The 16888-nt window shown below is 44.0% G+C and overlaps 1 protein-coding gene across 3 annotated transcripts in view, besides 1 other annotated feature; it reads left to right on the top strand.

Annotated features, from left to right (window-relative positions):
* Positions 1–16888, top strand: part of HTR7 (5-hydroxytryptamine receptor 7) — a 117217-nt gene that overhangs the window by 39843 nt on the left and 60486 nt on the right. The window lies entirely within an intron of this gene.
* Positions 12392–13110: an enhancer, noted in NCBI's record as "OCT4-NANOG hESC enhancer chr10:92564844-92565562 (GRCh37/hg19 assembly coordinates)". NCBI's record gives its function as "activates a minimal SCP1, AML or CMV promoter by ChIP-STARR-seq in naive H9 embryonic stem cells {active_cell/tissue: H9 hESC(naive)}" and the evidence as "EXISTENCE:reporter gene assay evidence [ECO:0000049][PMID:30033119]".

Below are 16888 nucleotides of genomic sequence, written 5' to 3'. Positions count from 1 at the left end.
AGGCAGGGCCCTCAATGACCCAAACACCTCCCATTTGGCCCCACCTCCCACCATGGTTGCGTTGGGGATTAAGATTCCAACATATGAACACATTTAAACCACAGCAACCCCCAAAAGTTCCCAGTGCTCTTTTATAGTCTATACCCACTTCTGTCCTCTAGTTCCAGGCAACCATTCACTTTCTGTCTATAGATTTGCCTTTTCTATAAATAGACTCATAAAATATGTATTCTTTTGTGTATATCTTCTTTCACTTTACATAGTTTTGAGGTTCATGGATATTGCAGTGTATATCAGTAGCTCATTTTGTTTTCTGAATAGATTGTTTTATGAGTATAGCATATTTTGTTTATTCTTTCAACAGTTGAAAGACATTTTGAAATGTTTCCACTTTCTTGCTATTATGACTAGTTATATTATGAACATTTATATACCGGTTTTTCTGTGGACTGACAACCGAAATGAGTGATTAAGGCACAAGTCTCAAATCATTGAGGTTTATTGAGCCACCTTAAGGGCTTGCCCAGGAAAATCTTGAGTCACAGAAGCACCTATGACTTTTTCCAAAGAGGTTCTCAGGAAGTTTAGTGTTTTACATTTTCCTTAAAAAGGGTGGGGGATGGGGCAGCAGTGAGACAAATTATTACATACTTATGAGAGTTTAGTTAGTGCCCAGTAAATCTACATCTTACATAAGATAAGGTGAACATTTGAAGAAAATGGGAATAGAGGAAACATATGTCTCAGGGAAGGGTGAAGGAATGATTAATCTCATCTTACCTTAGGGAGGGGTGAAAGCATGTTTAATCTTGTCTTTGTTGTGTCCCTGTGAAGATAAGCTAGTAGTCTTTTGAAAGGACTAGTTTCTTTTTAGCTCTTAGGGAGGAAAGCCTGATGGCTCCCCTGAAGGTGGGAGTATCAGGAAGTGTGTCCAACTTCCCATTTCACCATGGCTGTGAACTCAGCTTTTCAGGTTTCTCTGGGGTTTCCTTGGCCAAGAGGAGGTGTGTTCAGTCTGTTGGATGTTTAGAATTGTTTTTATTTCTCATTTTTCCCCCTTTTGGCTAAGATTGGCCAGAGGCAGCATCAGTGGCCACACTTTCATTTTGTCCCATGTTGTTGCTGAGGTGGTATGGCTATCTGCTTCAGGTCCGTCCTGTCCCTTGGTGGGGCCCTTGTGGCCAAGAGACATAGAGCCAAAAAACTTAACAGCCAATTTAAGTGTTCTAGGCCAGATGGCATAGAGGGCAGGCACTCATCAATGTTTAAAACCTTTTATGCAATAAAAGAGCTAAAAACCAAAGCCAAAAGGCCAGGTTATTTGTAGGGTCTGAATTAATTATATCCCTGAAAACCAGACCTAACAGTTTCATGTGCCCGCTTCTTCCATGATAGTCCCCGGGCTTAGAGGGAGGGTGCTTGTATAGTTTTAGCAGCAGGGGATTGGCAAGGAGAAACAGATCAGGCCCGGTGGGATATCAAATTAGGGAGATTCATAGGCTCTTAAATCATCTGTAGTTTTCAAAACACCGCAACTTCAGTTTTCTCAGACGAAGTGAAACAATGGGGAAATAAATAACATTAATCATTTGACAAAAGAGAATTTATATGTCAGAATGGAAGAGGAACTTATTCCATGAGAGAGCTAACTAAAAACATCATGAAGAAAATTATAACTAGGTTCTTTTTTAGAGACCCACTGCAGAAAAATAATAATTCAAAACAAAAGTCACAGCTGGAATCCAATAATAATTGTGTTATAGTTTTCCTTTGAAATAGAATTTCTCTCTCTCTAATCTCTCCTTTTTTACTAAAAAGAAATGATAGTATGGCCAATTTATGTGCAAAATAAGTTTCAGGAATACTCACAGATAGTTTCCAAATTTTGGAGAACTCAGAGAGGTATATTCTGCTCACAAAAGTATGCTTTACAATCAGAGTAGCAGCCTTCCAAGCAGGACATTGTCCTTTCATCTTGGAGCTACCATCCACAAACCAAGCAGCTCTTTATCAGTCAGGTGAGAGCTATTTATTGGGTAATGTAAAATCCAGGAGCTCCTCGCATAGCTTCAGACGCAGTCCTAGGGAGAAAGTAGCTCTTTGCTCATGAGTATCTCCTCGTTGTACACTCCAGATGGCATCATCCTATATAAACCATTTCCATTTTATTAGGGAACCCTGGGCACTTCAATGGGGCACTGCTATCCCTGTTAGCATAGGGATAGCTTCACTTAATGTCCCTTAGCAAGGCAGTAAATGCTCCTCAAGTGGAAATTCTCTTAAAGTCTCAGTAATCATCATTGGGAAGTGCTCACAGACTTTTGCCAAAACCTGCAATAAATGCTCTACAAAGGGCTATCAAAGTACAGAATTTGTTCCCACCAGCATTCTAGCTTTTACTCTCCACTCTGTGGGCTTGGGCAATCTTACTGGTTCTCATTTAGCATGTCCATTTTTTTTTTCTTCAACTTTTAAGTTCAGGAGTACATATGCAGGATGTGCAGGTTTGTTACGTAGGTAAACGTGTGCCATGATGGCCAGTTGCACATATCATCCCGTCACCCAGGTGTCAAGCCCAGTGTTCATTAGCTATTCTTCCCAATGCTCTCCCTCAGGCCCCCCACAAAAGGCCCCAGCATGTGTTGTTCTCCTGCCCGCACATGTCCATTTAATATTGCCTGAGGGGCGCATTTACATCCTTTCTGTTTTATAGTACTAGGTAGGGGAAACCTCTCCCAGTCAGATACAAGATCCATTTTTATAAACATTTAGGTAAAGAAGACACAATCACTTTAGAAAATGCCTGTTTAAACATTCCAACTTTTGCCTGTAATCCAAGCACTTTGGGAGGCTGAGGCAGGTGGATCGCCTGAGGTCAGGAGTTCAAGACCAGCCTGGCCAACACGGTGAAACCCTGTCTCTACTAAAAATACAAAAATTAGCTAGGTGAGGTGGTGGGCGCCTGTACTCCCAGCTACTCATGAGGCTGAGGCAGGAGAATTGGTTGAACCTAAGAGGCAGAGGTTGCGGTGAGCCGAGATCGCACCACCGCACTTCAGCCTGGGCAACAGAGTGAGACTACATCTCAAAAAAAACAAAACAAAAAAAAAAACAAAAAAAAAATCCAACTTTTGCAATCCTGCATTTTTACATTCTGGTCCCAGAAACTTCTTTTATGACCGTTTTACCCTTTCTTTTGAAAAGGACCTGGGTTCCCAGCAGGAGGTTGAGCCAAGGGACTTAGGCCCTTTTGTCAATCCATATCTTGGTTCACCTGCCTCACTATGCCCCAGGCAATTATTGGCCAGCTTTCTCATTGTAATCTTTGTCTTTTGACTTTTTAAAAAAATTTCTCCAATCTAGGGTAAAGGGAATAAAAAGGTTTGGGGCCCTTTAATGCTGGGGAACTAGCAAAATCCCTTTGGTCCATCCAGCCCTTGGTAATGTTGTACTAAGACCTTTGTTTTAACCCCATCAGTTTCTATTTTATTCGTTTAATTTCTTAATAACCATCTAAAGACTTCTACTACCCTGATGGGATGAATCCCATGTTTCTCTCTCATTTCTTCTCTGAGTTTCATTGTTTTTCTATCATTGTTTTCTTTCTTCACCTTATTTTTTAGAATAACCATTTAAAAATTTCCACCTTCCTGGAATGAGTCCTTTGACTCTCCCTTTTGCTTTTCCCCATGCTCTTCTTAATTACTTTAATGTATTATTAGCATCTGTAAGACCCATGAGGGGAAGCTGAAACAGCCAATTTGCTACGGCTTCTCGTGTTGTTCTGGACAACAGTAGGAGTAGCATTACATAGGGTGCCCATTTGGAAGGAGCCCCTTTAGCCCCTATAACCACAGCATTTATCATGAACTAGGTAATGGGCATATTTAGTGGGTGAATATTCCTATCATCATAAAGTGAGTCCCTCATGGCTTGTAGATGAAGCACATCAGCAGCTGCATCTGGCGTGCTCCACTTGGCATTACTAAGTAGAGTTGGATAGTTCCCCTTCTTAGGGCTTTTATCCAGTCCACTAGGCTAGCTATGAAACAGCACCATTGTCTGGAGTAAATACCTGAGGTTTGTCATCTCATGCCAAGGAAATCAATTAAGTGGTCACAAGAAGTGGGTTTAGGAGCGGAGGTTTAATAGGCTAAAGAAAGAGAAAGGAGAACAGCTCTCTCTCTTGCGAAAGAGAGGGGCACCTGAATGGGACTTCTGGCCCACTGTGGAGTGTACCGGATTTTATAGACAGGCTTGAGGAGGCTATGACTGATTTACATAGGGCCCATAGATTGGTTGGACCAGGTGCGATGTTTACATAGCTGGTGAGGAAGCTGGTCGTCCCACCCTAATCTTATTAGGCAAATGGAGTCTTTGCCTGGCCAGCGCCATGCTGTCTTTTCCTTACTGTACATGTGGTTTGGCAAGGAGAAGGGAAGATGGAGATGCCATTTTGAACCTGCCTAGCCCCAGGTAGCCATTTCCTATTGGCACAGCTGCTGGCATTCACCCTTGCAAGCTTCTAGCTTGTGTGTCTATGTCTGCAGCTTGATTTTACAGGTTGCTCTTTGTTAGAAAAGAAATGATTTTGGGGCTGCTTTTCATTGAAAGGAAAACCTTACCAAGGACTCCCGAACCCTCACTATCTAAATAATTTCTTTTTTTTTTTTTTGACACGGAGTCTCACTCCATGACCCAGGCTGGGGTGCAGTGGCATGATCTTTGCTCACTGCAACCTCTGCCACCCGCGTTCAAGCGACCCTGTGGCCTCAGCCTCCCCAGTAGCTGGGACTACAGGCGTGTGCTACCATGCTTGGCTAATTTTTATATTTTTGGTAGAGATGGGGTTTCACCATGTTGGCCAGGCTGGTCTTGACCTCCTGACCTCAGGTGATCGGCCCGCCTCGGCCTCCCAAAGTGCTGGTATTATAGGTTTCATGCGCGTCCGTGTGAAGAGACCACCAAACAGGCTTTGTGTGAGCAATACAGCTTTTAATCACCTGGGTGCAGGCGGGCTAAGTCTGAAAAGAGAGTCAGCAAAGGGAGATAGGGGTGGGGCCGTTTTATAAGATTTGGGTAGGTAAAGGAAAATGACAGTCAAAGGGGGTTTGTTCTCTGGCGGGCAGGAGTGGGGGTTGCAAGGTGCTCAGTGGGGGAGGTTTTTGAGCCAGGATGAGCCAGGAAAAGGAATTTCACAAGACAATGTCATCAGTTAAGGCAGGAACAGGCCATTTTCACTTCTTTTGTGGTGGAATGTCATCAGTTAAGGCGGGGCAGGGCATATTCACTTCTTTTGTGATTCTTCAGTTACTTCAGGCCATCTGGGCGAATATGTGCAAGTCACAGGGGATGCGATGGCTTGGCTTGGGCTCAGAGGCCTGACATTCCTGCCTTCTTATATTAATAAGAAAAATAAAACAAAATAGTGTTGAAGTGTTGGGGTGGCGAAAATTTTTGGGGGGTGGTATGGAGAGAGAGAATGGGCGATGTTTCTCAGGGCTGCTTCGAGCAGGATTGGGGTGGCTTGGGAACCTAGAGTGGGAGAGATTAAGCTGAAGGAAGATTTTGTGGTAAGGGGTGATATTGTGGGGTTGTTAGAAGAAACATTTGTTGTATAGAATGATTGGTGATGGCCTGGATATGGTTTTGTATGAATTGAAAAACTAAATGGAATAAGAGAAGGAGAAAAACAGGTATAAAAGGTCTAAGAATTGGGAGGACCCAGGACATCTGATTAGAGAGTGCCTAAGGAGATTCAGCATAGTCCTGCCAGCAAAGATTATTTATTTACTTCAAGAGTTAAGAGTGGCAGTTTGGGGATAGCACCAGGAGATATCAGCTGTGATGGCTTGGAGAAACAGTGTAAACCGGCAGTGTAAACAAGAGCAGGGCATGTATGAGTAGCTGAGAATGGTGAATAGGAGTATGACTAGACAGAAGATAGTAGGGATGACAAGTTTTTTTGGGGCACAGTCTAAGTTGGTCTGGTGTCTGGAATGAGACTGGGGCCTAATAAAAAGGAGCGTCTATACAGGAGCTCAAATGGGCTGTACCCTGTAGCATTCTGAGGACAGGTCTGACTTCTGAGAAGGGAAAGTGGTAAAAGTATTGTCCAGTCCTTTTTAAGTTGGTGGCTGAGCTTGGTGAGGTGTGTTTTTAAAAGACCTTTAGTCTGTTCTACTTTTCCTGAAGACAGAGGACTGTAAGGGATGTAAAGGTTTCACTGAATACTAAGAGCCTGAAAAACTACTTGGCTGATTTGACTAATAAAGGCTGGTCTGTTATCAGACTGTATAGAGGTGGGAAGGCTAAACTAAGGAATTATGTCTGACAGAAGGGAGGAAATGACTACGGTGGCCTTCTCAGACCCTGTAGGAAAGGCCTTTACTTATTCAGTGAAAGTGTCTACTTAGAATAAGAGGTATTTTAGTTTCCTGACTCGGGGCATGTTGAGTAAAGCTAATTTGCCAGTCCTGGGCGGGGGCAAATCCCTGAACTTGATGTGTAGGGAAGAGAGGGGGCCTGAATAATCCCTGAGGAGTAGTAGCATAGCAGATGGAATACTGAGAAGTTATTTCCTCGAGGATAGATTTCCACAATGGAAAGGAAATGAGAGGTTCTAAGAGGCGGGCTAGTGGCTTGTACTATAGCATAGCCTGCCTTTGCTGGTGTGTGGCGATTACGCCTGGTGGAACTGCCATCAATAAACTAAGTGTGATCAGGGTGAGAAACAGGGGAGAAGGAAATGTGGGGAAATGGGGTGAACGTCAGGTGGATCAGAGAGATGAAGGAGCTGGGGAGCAGAAAGTATAGGCATCAGGTGTGAGGAAGAAAATAGATTTTGGAAATTATGAGAGCTGTAGAGAGTGAGTTGAGCATAGTTTGTGATTTTAAGGGCCTCTGAAAGTATTGGGGTGGCAGCAGCCACTGCACGGAGACATGATGGCCAGCCTAAAACAGTAAGGTCAAGTTGTTTGGACAAAAAGGCTACAGGACGCGATCCCGGTCCTTGTGTAAGAATTCCGACTGCACAGCCCTGCACTTCAGCTCTGTGTAATGAAAAGGGTTGGGATGAGTCAGGGAGCGCTCGGGTTGGGGCAGTCTCTAAAGCTGTCTTCAAGGAACGGAAAAAGGAGTGGGGAAAGGATTTAGGATCTATGGGGTCAGCTAGGTTTCTTTTTGTGAGTTTATATAATGGTTTTGTTAGGATGGCAAAACCAGGTATCTAAAGTCGAAAGTATCTAACCATGCCTAGGATGTAGAAGGTGTTGGGGTTTGAGAGATCAGTCAGACACGATCGGCAGAGAGAGCACATGTGTTTTTCTAAGAATTACGCCGAGACAGGTAACAGATGAGGAAGAAATTTGGGCTTGACTGAAGTAATGGGGGATGTCTGTTAAGCCTTGCGGCAGTACAGCCCAGGTAATTTGCTGAGCGTGATGGGTGTCAGGGTCAGTCCAAGTGAAAGCGAAGAGAGGCTGGGATGAAGGGTGCAAAGGAATAGTAAAGAAAGCGTGTTTGAGATCTAGAACAGAATAATGGGTTGTAGAGGGAGGTATTGAGGATAGGAGAGTATATGGGTTCAGCACCATGGGGTGGATAGGCAAAACAATTTGGTTGATAAGGCACAGATCCTGAACTAACTTGTAAGGCTTGTCTGGTTTTAGGACAGGTAAAATGGGGGAATTGTAAGGAGAGTTTATAGGCTTTAAAAGGCCATGCTGTAGCAGGCGAGTGATAACAGGCTTTAATCTTTTTAAAGCGTGCTGTGGGATGGGATACTGGCGTTGAGTGGGGTAAGGGTGATTAGATTTTAATGAGATGGTAAGGGTTGCATGATCGGTCACCAAGAAGGGAGTAGAAGTATCCTATACTTGTGGGTTAAGGTGGGGGGATACAAGAGGAGGATGTGAAGGAGGCTTTGAAGTGGGGGAAAAGGTGGCAATGAGATGTGGCTGTAGCCCAGGAATAGTCAGGGAAGCAGATAATTTAGTTAAAGTGTCTTGGCCTAATAAGGGAACTGGGCAGGTGGGGATAACTAAAAAGGAGTGCTTAAAAGAGTATTGTCTAAGGTGGCACCAGAGTTGGGGAGTTTTAAGAGGTTTAGAAACCTGGCCGTCAATACCCACAACAGTTATGGAGGCAAGGGAAACAGGCCCTTGAAAAGGAGGTAATGTGGAGTGGGTAGCCTCCGTATTCATTAAGAAGGGGACGGACTTACCTTCCACTGTGAAGGTTACCCGAAGCTCGGAGTCCGTGATGGTCTAGGGGGCTTCCGAGGTGATCAGGCAGTGTCAGTCTTCAGCCGCTAAGCCAAGAAGATCTGGGAAGCAGTCAGAGAGCCTTGGGCCAGAGTTCCAGGGGCTCTGGGAGTGGCTGCCAGGTGAGTTGGACAGTCCGATTTCCAGTGGGGTCCTGCACAGATGGGACGTGACTTAGGAGGAATCCTGGGCTGCAGGCATTCCTTGGCCTGGTGGCCAGATTTCTGGCACTTGTAGCAAGCTCCTGGCAGAGGAGGTTCTGGAGGAACGCCTGGCCGCTGCGGTTCAGGCATTTGGAAGTTCTTGTGTGCTGGAGTTGTGGCTGGGGTTTGTCTCACAGTGGAGGCAAGGAATTGCAACTTTTTTCTATTATTGTACACCTTGAAGGCGAGGTTAATTAATCCCGTTGTGGGGTTTGAGGGCCAGAATTTAATTTTTGGAGTTTTATTTAATGTTGGGAGCAGATTGGGTAATAAAATGTATTTTGAGAATAAGACAGCCTTTTGATGTTTTAGGGTCTAGGGCTGTAAAGAGTCTCAGGGTTGCTGCCAAACGAGTCATGAACTGGGCTGGATTTTTATATTTGATGAAAAAGAGCCTAAACGCTATCTGATTTGGGATAAAGAAAAAGGAGCATTAACCTTGACTATGTCTTTAGCTCCAGCCACCTTTTTAAGAGTAAATTGCTAGGCAGGTGGCAGAGGGCTAGTTACGGAATGAAACTGTAAGCCAGACCGGGTGTCAGGAGGGGAGGTGATAAAAGGATTATAGGGTGGAGAAGAGGGGGCTGAGGAAGAATTGGGACTTAGCTCGGCCTGGCGAGGAGGGGAGAGGTCAGATAGATCTGTAGAAAAGGAAGATTGGAGACTCAGTGATGCTTGGGGTTGGGACTGAGGGGACAGGCGGGAGGGAAAGAAGGAAGATTTGGGACGAGTTGCATTGGGAACAGAGACTAGGAAGGGACTGATGTGTAAAAGAATGCCTGGACGTCAGGCACCTCAGACCGTTTGCCTATTTTACGACAAGAATTATTTATATCTTGTAGGATGGAAAAATTGAAAGTGCCATTTTCTGGCTATTTGGTACCACTGTTGAGTTTGTATTGGGGTCAAGTGGCATTGCAGAAGAAAGTAAGGCATTTAGGTTTTAGGTCAGATGTGAGTTGAAGAGGTTTTAAGTTTTTGAGAACACAGGCTAAGGGAGAAGAAGGAGGAATGGAGGGTGGAAGGTTGCCCATAGTGAAGGAAGCAAGCCCAGAGAAAAGATAGAGACAGGAGGGAAGGGGTTCAGGGGTTCTTACCCTCCAGAAAAGTGGGAAAGGGGTCGGGGCGCAGAGATACAAGGTCGGGGCATGGAAATAAGGGATCAGGGCGCAGAGATATAACAGGTTGGGGCGTGGAAATAAGGGATCGGAGCACAGAGATATAAGAGGTCGGGGCATGGACATAAGGGATCGGGGCGCAGAGATACAAGGTTGGGGTACTTGCCCCTCCCCCAGAAAAGCAGGACTTGCCGCTAAGGATGAAGGAGAAGGGGTTGGGAGTTTCTTGCCCCCCAGAAAGGCGGAGAAGAGGTAGAGACATGGAGAGAAGGGGTTGGGGTACTTGCCCCTCCTCTAGAAAAGCGGGACTTGCTGCTAAGAGTGAAGGAGAAGGGTTAGGGGTTTCTTGCCCCCCAGAAAGGTGGAGACGGGGTAGAGACACAGAGAGAAGGGGTTGGGGTACTTGCCCCCCCCAGAAAAGTGGGACTTGCCGCTAAGGGTGAAGGACCAAGGCAGGCGTCCCTGCGTGATCTGACACCTCTGAAACGTGGGTGAATAATCAGAGAGGCGTATCTGCAATTATTAAACACCAAGGGAAGGCTGCCTTCCCAGTCTGTGACCGGCGCCGGGGTTTTGGGTCCACGGATAAAACATGTCTCCTTTGTCTCTACCAGAAAATGAAAGGAATTGAAATTGAAAGAAGGGAGAGATTGAAGAGTGGAAAGGAGAAAGTGGTTGAGGGATAGTGAGAGAGGTTGAAGAAGAGAGTAAGAAGAGGCCGCTTACTCGATTTAAAATTGGTGAGATGTTCCTTGGGCTGGTGGGTCTGAGGACCTGAGGTCGTAGGTGGATCTTTTTCACGGAGCAAAGAACAGGAGGACAGGGGATTGATCTCCCAAGGGAGGTCCCCCGATCTGAGTCACGGCACCAAATTTCATGCGCGTCCGTGTGAAGAGACCACCAAACAGGCTTTGTGTGAGCAATACAGCTTTTAATCACCTGGGTGCCTGCGGGCTGAGTCCGAAAAGAGAGTCAGCAAAGGGAGATAGGGGTGGGGCCGTTTTATAATATTTGGGTAGGTAAAGGAAAATTACAGTCAAAGGGGTTTTGTTCTCTGGCGAGCAGGCGTAGGGGTTGCAAGGTGCTCAGTGGGGGAGGTTTTTGAGCCAGGATGAGCCAGGAAAAGGAATTTCACAAGACAATGTCATCAGTTAAGGCAGGAACAGGCCATTTTCACTTCTTTTGTGGTGGAATGTCATCAGTTGAGGTGAGGCAGGGCATATTCACTTCTTTTGTGATTCTTCAGTTACTTCAGGCCATCTGGGTGTGTACGTGCAAGTGACAGGGGATGCGATGGCTTGGCTTGGGCTCAGAGGCCTGACAATAGGTGTGATCCACCGTGCCCAGCCCAATAATTTCTTTCTAACTTCTATATCAGCTGTTCTCTAAGAATACCCTCCTGTCAGTCTGTATCACATTTGCCCATCTGTGATTTTTCAGTAGTGAGCTGTGTGTCCTGCATCAACCTACACATCTTTTTTCCACTCTGTCGTATTTAAAATGCAAGATACTACTCCAAAATCAGTCACTGTTACAATCCGTTTTAGTAAAGGTTTTTTAGGAAGCTGATGATACTGATGTGCAAAATGGAACAGTTCCTTTACATTATGCCCTCTGGTTTCAGTAGTTAATTGGTTTTACCCTTCCCTCACATTAGCTACCTTCTTGGTAATCACAGGTCTCAGAGGTACTTTTTGTTGCCCCAGTCTATCTTTCCCCTTTGCAGGTGGCTTTGAGGCTGGTGATCTGAGATCAGACAGTCCCTCATCAGAACTTGGTTTGGCCAAGGCCCAGCCCAGCACACTCTTTTACTTTTGTTTTAGCTATTATAGATAACAATAACCAAGGGATTGAATGTTTCTCTTTTTCCTTATTAGTTTGCATTTCCTCATGTATCTTGTGAACCAGTTCCCCAGGAGCTGGATCCATTGCTAAACTCCACTGGTAACTTTTACCTTTAGGAACTTTTTTTTTATTTTTTTATTTTTTAAATTTTTTTATTTTGTTTTTTTTGAGATGGAGTCTCGCTCTGTCGCCCAGGCTGGAGTGCAGAGGCGTGATCTCGGCTCACTACAAGCTCCGCCTCCCGGGTTCACGCCATTCTCCTGCCTCAGCCTCCCAAGTAGCTGAGACTACAGGCGCCCGCCACCACGCCCGGCTAATTTTTTGTATTTTTTAGTAGAGACGGGGTTTCACCGTGTTGGCCAGGACGGTCTCGATCTCCTGACCTCGTGATCCGCCCACCTCAGCCTCCCAAAGTGTTGGGATTACAGGCGTGAGCCACCGCGCCCAGCCTACCTTTAGGAACTTAATACAGCACAGCTGCAGCTCCATACCATGGATGACCCCGTCAAGGGTTCCTCATTCCCTACCCTTTTATCCTTTCTCTTTCTATCCATTTAATTTTATCTGTCTCATTTTTTCTTCATTTTGAAGAAATCTTTATGTAGCCTCCAAACTAGACAAATTTACTTTTTCTTTAGCAAAAAACCACATCCTCATGTTATTTATAACCTTTACCAAAACGCATCTTAGTTTCTTTATGAACTCTGCATGTAGAATTCTCTTATATCTAGTAGTTTTAATTATATTTATTAACAACTATTCTAACTAAGTAACCCTAATTTACAGTGAAAAACCTGGGATTACCTAATATAACATGATCTCTAGATTTTAAATTACTAAAGAAATTTTACAACTAGTTTTACTTATCAAAGATTCCTAAAGTCTCATGAGCTAACAGGCATTTGGGCTAGCATGTTGTTCTGATATTTGATTTAAGCACTTAATTTCCTTTAAGCCTATTGATTAGAGTGCTTTCATAAAATTTGGTAGTGAAACATCACATACACATGCCACATAGAAACATATAGACACATAGAAGCAGATCTTACAGAGTTATAAGATTTTTCATTTGTCAGGTTTCAAAAAATTTCTCTCCCCTAATTTAGAGTATCAATCTCTTTATTACCTGTTTCATACCTTAAAACAATTATTAGCTAGGCAACTCTACATTTGCATCTCCAAACACATGACTCTTAGGGGAGAGAAAGTAGAAAATGCATACCTCAAAGGCACAGAACTTAGAACAAAACAAAGGCAAGCAAGGTTTGTTATGTTAACTTTAAGACACTGTCTTCCCTGTAGTTAAACTTCCTAGCGGTTTAGGTGCAGAGACAGAGGTGCATTTACAAATGATGATTTCCTTTAAAGATGTAAATTTCTTTCACAAAGAGATTCAAAGACTGATTTAATTTAATAGGTGTTCTTTTTCAACTTAGCTTGTGTGTTATTTAGATAACTGGCTTCAGGGTGGAGTCCTTTAAGGAACAGGGACAATAAAGCATGTGGTTTTTAGGGCCCAAACCATGCTTTTCTCATCCAAACATGCAAAGAAATGAGTAGCCCCCTATAGTAATGACCATTTCCTGTAAATAACTGTCTTCAGCCACCCCTAACATTGTAGCTATTGCCCAACTCACCAGCCAGTGCACACACCAATGTCAAGACCTTTCATAGTACAAAGTAATATCTGGTACCCTGCAAAAGCTAGAGACCAGGTAATGCAATATAAAACAGTGCAGAGTTTTAGACCTGAGAGGCATCTGTCTGCTTACAACTCTTGGGTTTTCATAAGGAAAAACAAAATTTTCCTCCCAACAGAGGAGTCTTTGTCAACTTTTATGTTTTCCCCAAAAGATCTTAGATTGTCAGAAATTCCTCCCCTTCTTTTGGTCCCTTCTATGACATTGGAGGTTGCAAGAGGAAGGAGGAACAGACAGGATTCAGAAAAAATAAATAAATAAAAATCCCCAAGACAGGATCCAAAAAGAGAAACAGCATAAAGCTCTTTTAAAAAAAAATTGTAATTATAGCTTAGATATCAGCTTTTAATGAAGCTGACTGCTAACCATAGAAGTCTTTAAAAGAAAAAAATTCTTTCAGATCTCTTATTACCTGGGATAAACAGCTGATATTTCTGGCCTTTGAACTCCTTTACCAAACCTGAAGGAGTGGGGAGGGGTGGTGGCTCGTTTTGCTCAGCTGCTGAGCTCAAACCTCTTGTGGGAGGGGGAGCATGCAGGTGAGCAGGTGCAGGAGCTGGGGGGAGTGCCTTTAGGCGCTGGCAGGAATGAACCCGTACCAGCCCATGGCACATTCTAGCAGTTGCCCACAACCTCTGGAACCCCAGAGGGCATGTGTTACAAACAATGCTCTTTTGGTATTTGCTGTCCAAAGATGGCTAAGTGTTAACTAGCTCAGTGGGGAGACATATACCCTGCCCTCTTGGTACCCAGGTTCTTGTCTGGTGTCCAGGAAGAATCATGTCACACAGACTCGAAGGATGGTGAACGTGGAGGTTTTGTTGAGTGATGGAGGTGGCTCTGAGCTGAAGGGGAGCTGGAAAGGGGATGGTGCGGGAAGAAGGTGATCTTTCCCTGAAGCCCAGCCATCTATGTCTGGGCTCCTCTCTGAAGTCTTGTCTTCTGAAGTTAAGCTGCATCTTTTCCTAGTCTCTGATGCTCAGTTGCTCCTTCTCATCTCAACATTCAGTTGCTTGTTCTCTTTTCTCCTTCTCTGCCACACTGCTCTGCTCCTCTGCCAGTGGAGCTTGGGGTTTTTATGGTTATAGGTTGGGGGCATAGCAGGCCCAGGTGGTTTTGGAAAAAGCAACACTCGGTGGGAGAAACAGGGATGTGAAGTTCTCATTTAGGGCCACAGGCACAGGCTTGCAGGTGGAACCCTTGCCAGGGACTCTGCCCTCTCCTACCCAGTATTTTCCTGCCTCCTGTTCGTACCATTATGGCTTAGCCAAGAACACACAAAGTATCTCCAAAGCAGTGCAAAGCAGTCCTCTTAAGATCCAGAATTGTTACAGTAGGTAGGTAGTCAGACATGACCAGGGCAGGATAGGGCTCCTCTCCCCAACACCAGGAATGTCAGGCAACCATCAGATGATGGTCAGGCAGTTGTTAACTCTCTCTCCAAAATAATAATTGGTCATAGCCAGACTCAGGAAAAGGCGGTCTCCCGATAAACAGAAACACCTGAAACTGGTGATCAGCAGCTTCCTGATAAGATCTCAGGAGTGGGGCGAGTGGGTTCAACCTTGTGCATCAAATGGCAAATAGTGGAGTTTAAGTGATATTTGACCTCCTAGGGATATTCAACTAGTAAGGGAAAAACACCTCAAGTGAGATGTGTACAACTCCAGTAAACGTACTGTGCATACACCCTTCCCAAGCGCTGGCAGGCTACTGCGCATGTGAATACCCTACCCCAAGGGAAAGATCAGGGGAGAAGGGACACAAGACCCTCATATGCCAACATATCAAACCCCAAGTCAAAGGTCGAATGGCACACTTGATCTCTCAAGTCACCTGCTTGGCCCTCTTCCAAGTGTACTTTACTTCCTTTTATTCCTGCTCTAAAGCTTTTAAATAAACTTTTAGTCTTACTCTAAGACTTGCTTTGGTATCTTCTTCTCCTTTATACCCCTCAGACAAATTCTTTCTTCTGAGGAGGCAAGAACTGAGGTTGCTTTAGGCCCATATGGATCTGCTGCTGGTAACAGAATGACACCAAAGACAGCAAAAAAAAAAAAAAAAAAAAAAGGCCACAAATGGGGTACAACTCATTTTTGTCTGTCTGGCCATATACTCTATGGTCTCAGTTTCTCAGCTGGTCATCTACACACAAAGGCCCAAAACCACCATATGCCCCCACAGATGGAAGACAGGAAATCAAAAGCTGTCCATGGAAGGGAAAAGGATCAATAAGTGGCAAAAGTCATACAAATATCAAACCAAAAGGACTGATTCCATGATCATGAATTTTAACTACCAGACTACAAAGTGGAGCAGCTTCCGTTGTTAATCCCACATGGAATCAAAAGCAGGCAGTTTGAGTGTACAAGGGATTTTAACTTTGTTTTAGGTCAGATTTTGCTCTTTAAAGAGAATTTTTAAGGCTAGCTATAACGCTATTACGGATTCTTTTAAAAATTTAACCTTTCCATCAATTGCTTAGAATAAGAGATCTCTAAAATCTTTTTTATTTCCAATAGTGTACTTAGTTCCAGTAGTGACTCAATTCAAAAGCCTCTTCATTTAAAGCCCAGGTGGTAATTTTCCAGGTTTTTACCATATATTCCTGGAGAGGGCATAGAGGAAGCAATCCCCGTGATCCTCCAAAATTCTCTCTCAGAAATAGACTTAAGCCAGCGAAAGACTGCAAAAGCCCCGGAGGGATGGAACTTTTAAGTCAAAACTCCTCTCAAGAGCTTGACACATTCAGAACAGTGTGTTACTTAAAATATTATGTGTCTTGGACTCCTAGTCTTTTCAGATTGGCTGGCTGGCCTGACCCTGAAAAATCATGCCATCTGGATGGCAGAGACTAGAAAAGTAACCCAAGCACATAAAACAAGACAAGAGGGAAAACTCATCCAGTTTCCCTCTCAGGAGCCCACAGCGAAGTTTGTCTAAACAGACACCGGTCTAGTCAGAACCATAAAATGGACTCATCTGCAGGGCTGGCTTGAACAGCAGGCTTATAGGGATTCTAGGCCCATGTTCTCTACCCTATGACACTGCTCTTTATGAGAGAACAACACAGAAAGACAAAGGAAAATGGCAACAAAAAAGGCTATTTCTGAGAGGCAAGGGGTCAAACAATATGAACATTCACACCATAAAGTACCAAAAATACACCAGAGTCACTACACCCCAAGACTAGTCACACAAATCCCTTTTTTCCCAATAATCAAAACTTTGAGACAAAACGGTGATTTTTAACCATCTGTTCAATCAGATTGCACAAGGAGGCCAGGAGGCTCACTGATAAGAATTTCTTACCTATTTGCTGGCTTGTAAGTTTCCTGAGTTCTCTTCATTCTGACTTCCAAAAGAGAAGAGTGATTTTGGGGATCCTACTGGCTATGCCAAATTGTGGGGGCCAAGGAGGAGCTTTCCCCTTGACCCTCTGAAGTTTTGCTGAAAAATTAACTCACAAAAGGCAGATTAATGGGAGAAAAAGTATACAATTTATTTAATCATGTTTACATGGGAACCTTCAGAATGAAGACTCTTAGCTAATCTTTCCTAGATCCAAATTAGGGAAGGTCTGGCTGGGCCACTTTATAATATGTCAAATAAATATATTTTGGGGGGTAAAATATTGATTTCTTTTAACCAGCTGGTGTTTCCGGGGTTGGAGCTTGACTTTCTGCAACTATGGAGTTTTAGTCAACATTGTGGCTGGGAGGAAGAGTTGGTCAAATCTAATGGAAGATAGACTAAAA

This window comes from Homo sapiens, chromosome 10 (genome assembly GCF_000001405.40).
Source record: "Homo sapiens chromosome 10, GRCh38.p14 Primary Assembly".
Lineage (NCBI taxonomy): Eukaryota > Metazoa > Chordata > Mammalia > Primates > Hominidae > Homo > Homo sapiens.
The sequence above is the reverse complement of the archived record's forward strand: the minus strand, read 5'-3'. Positions and strand labels throughout refer to the sequence as shown.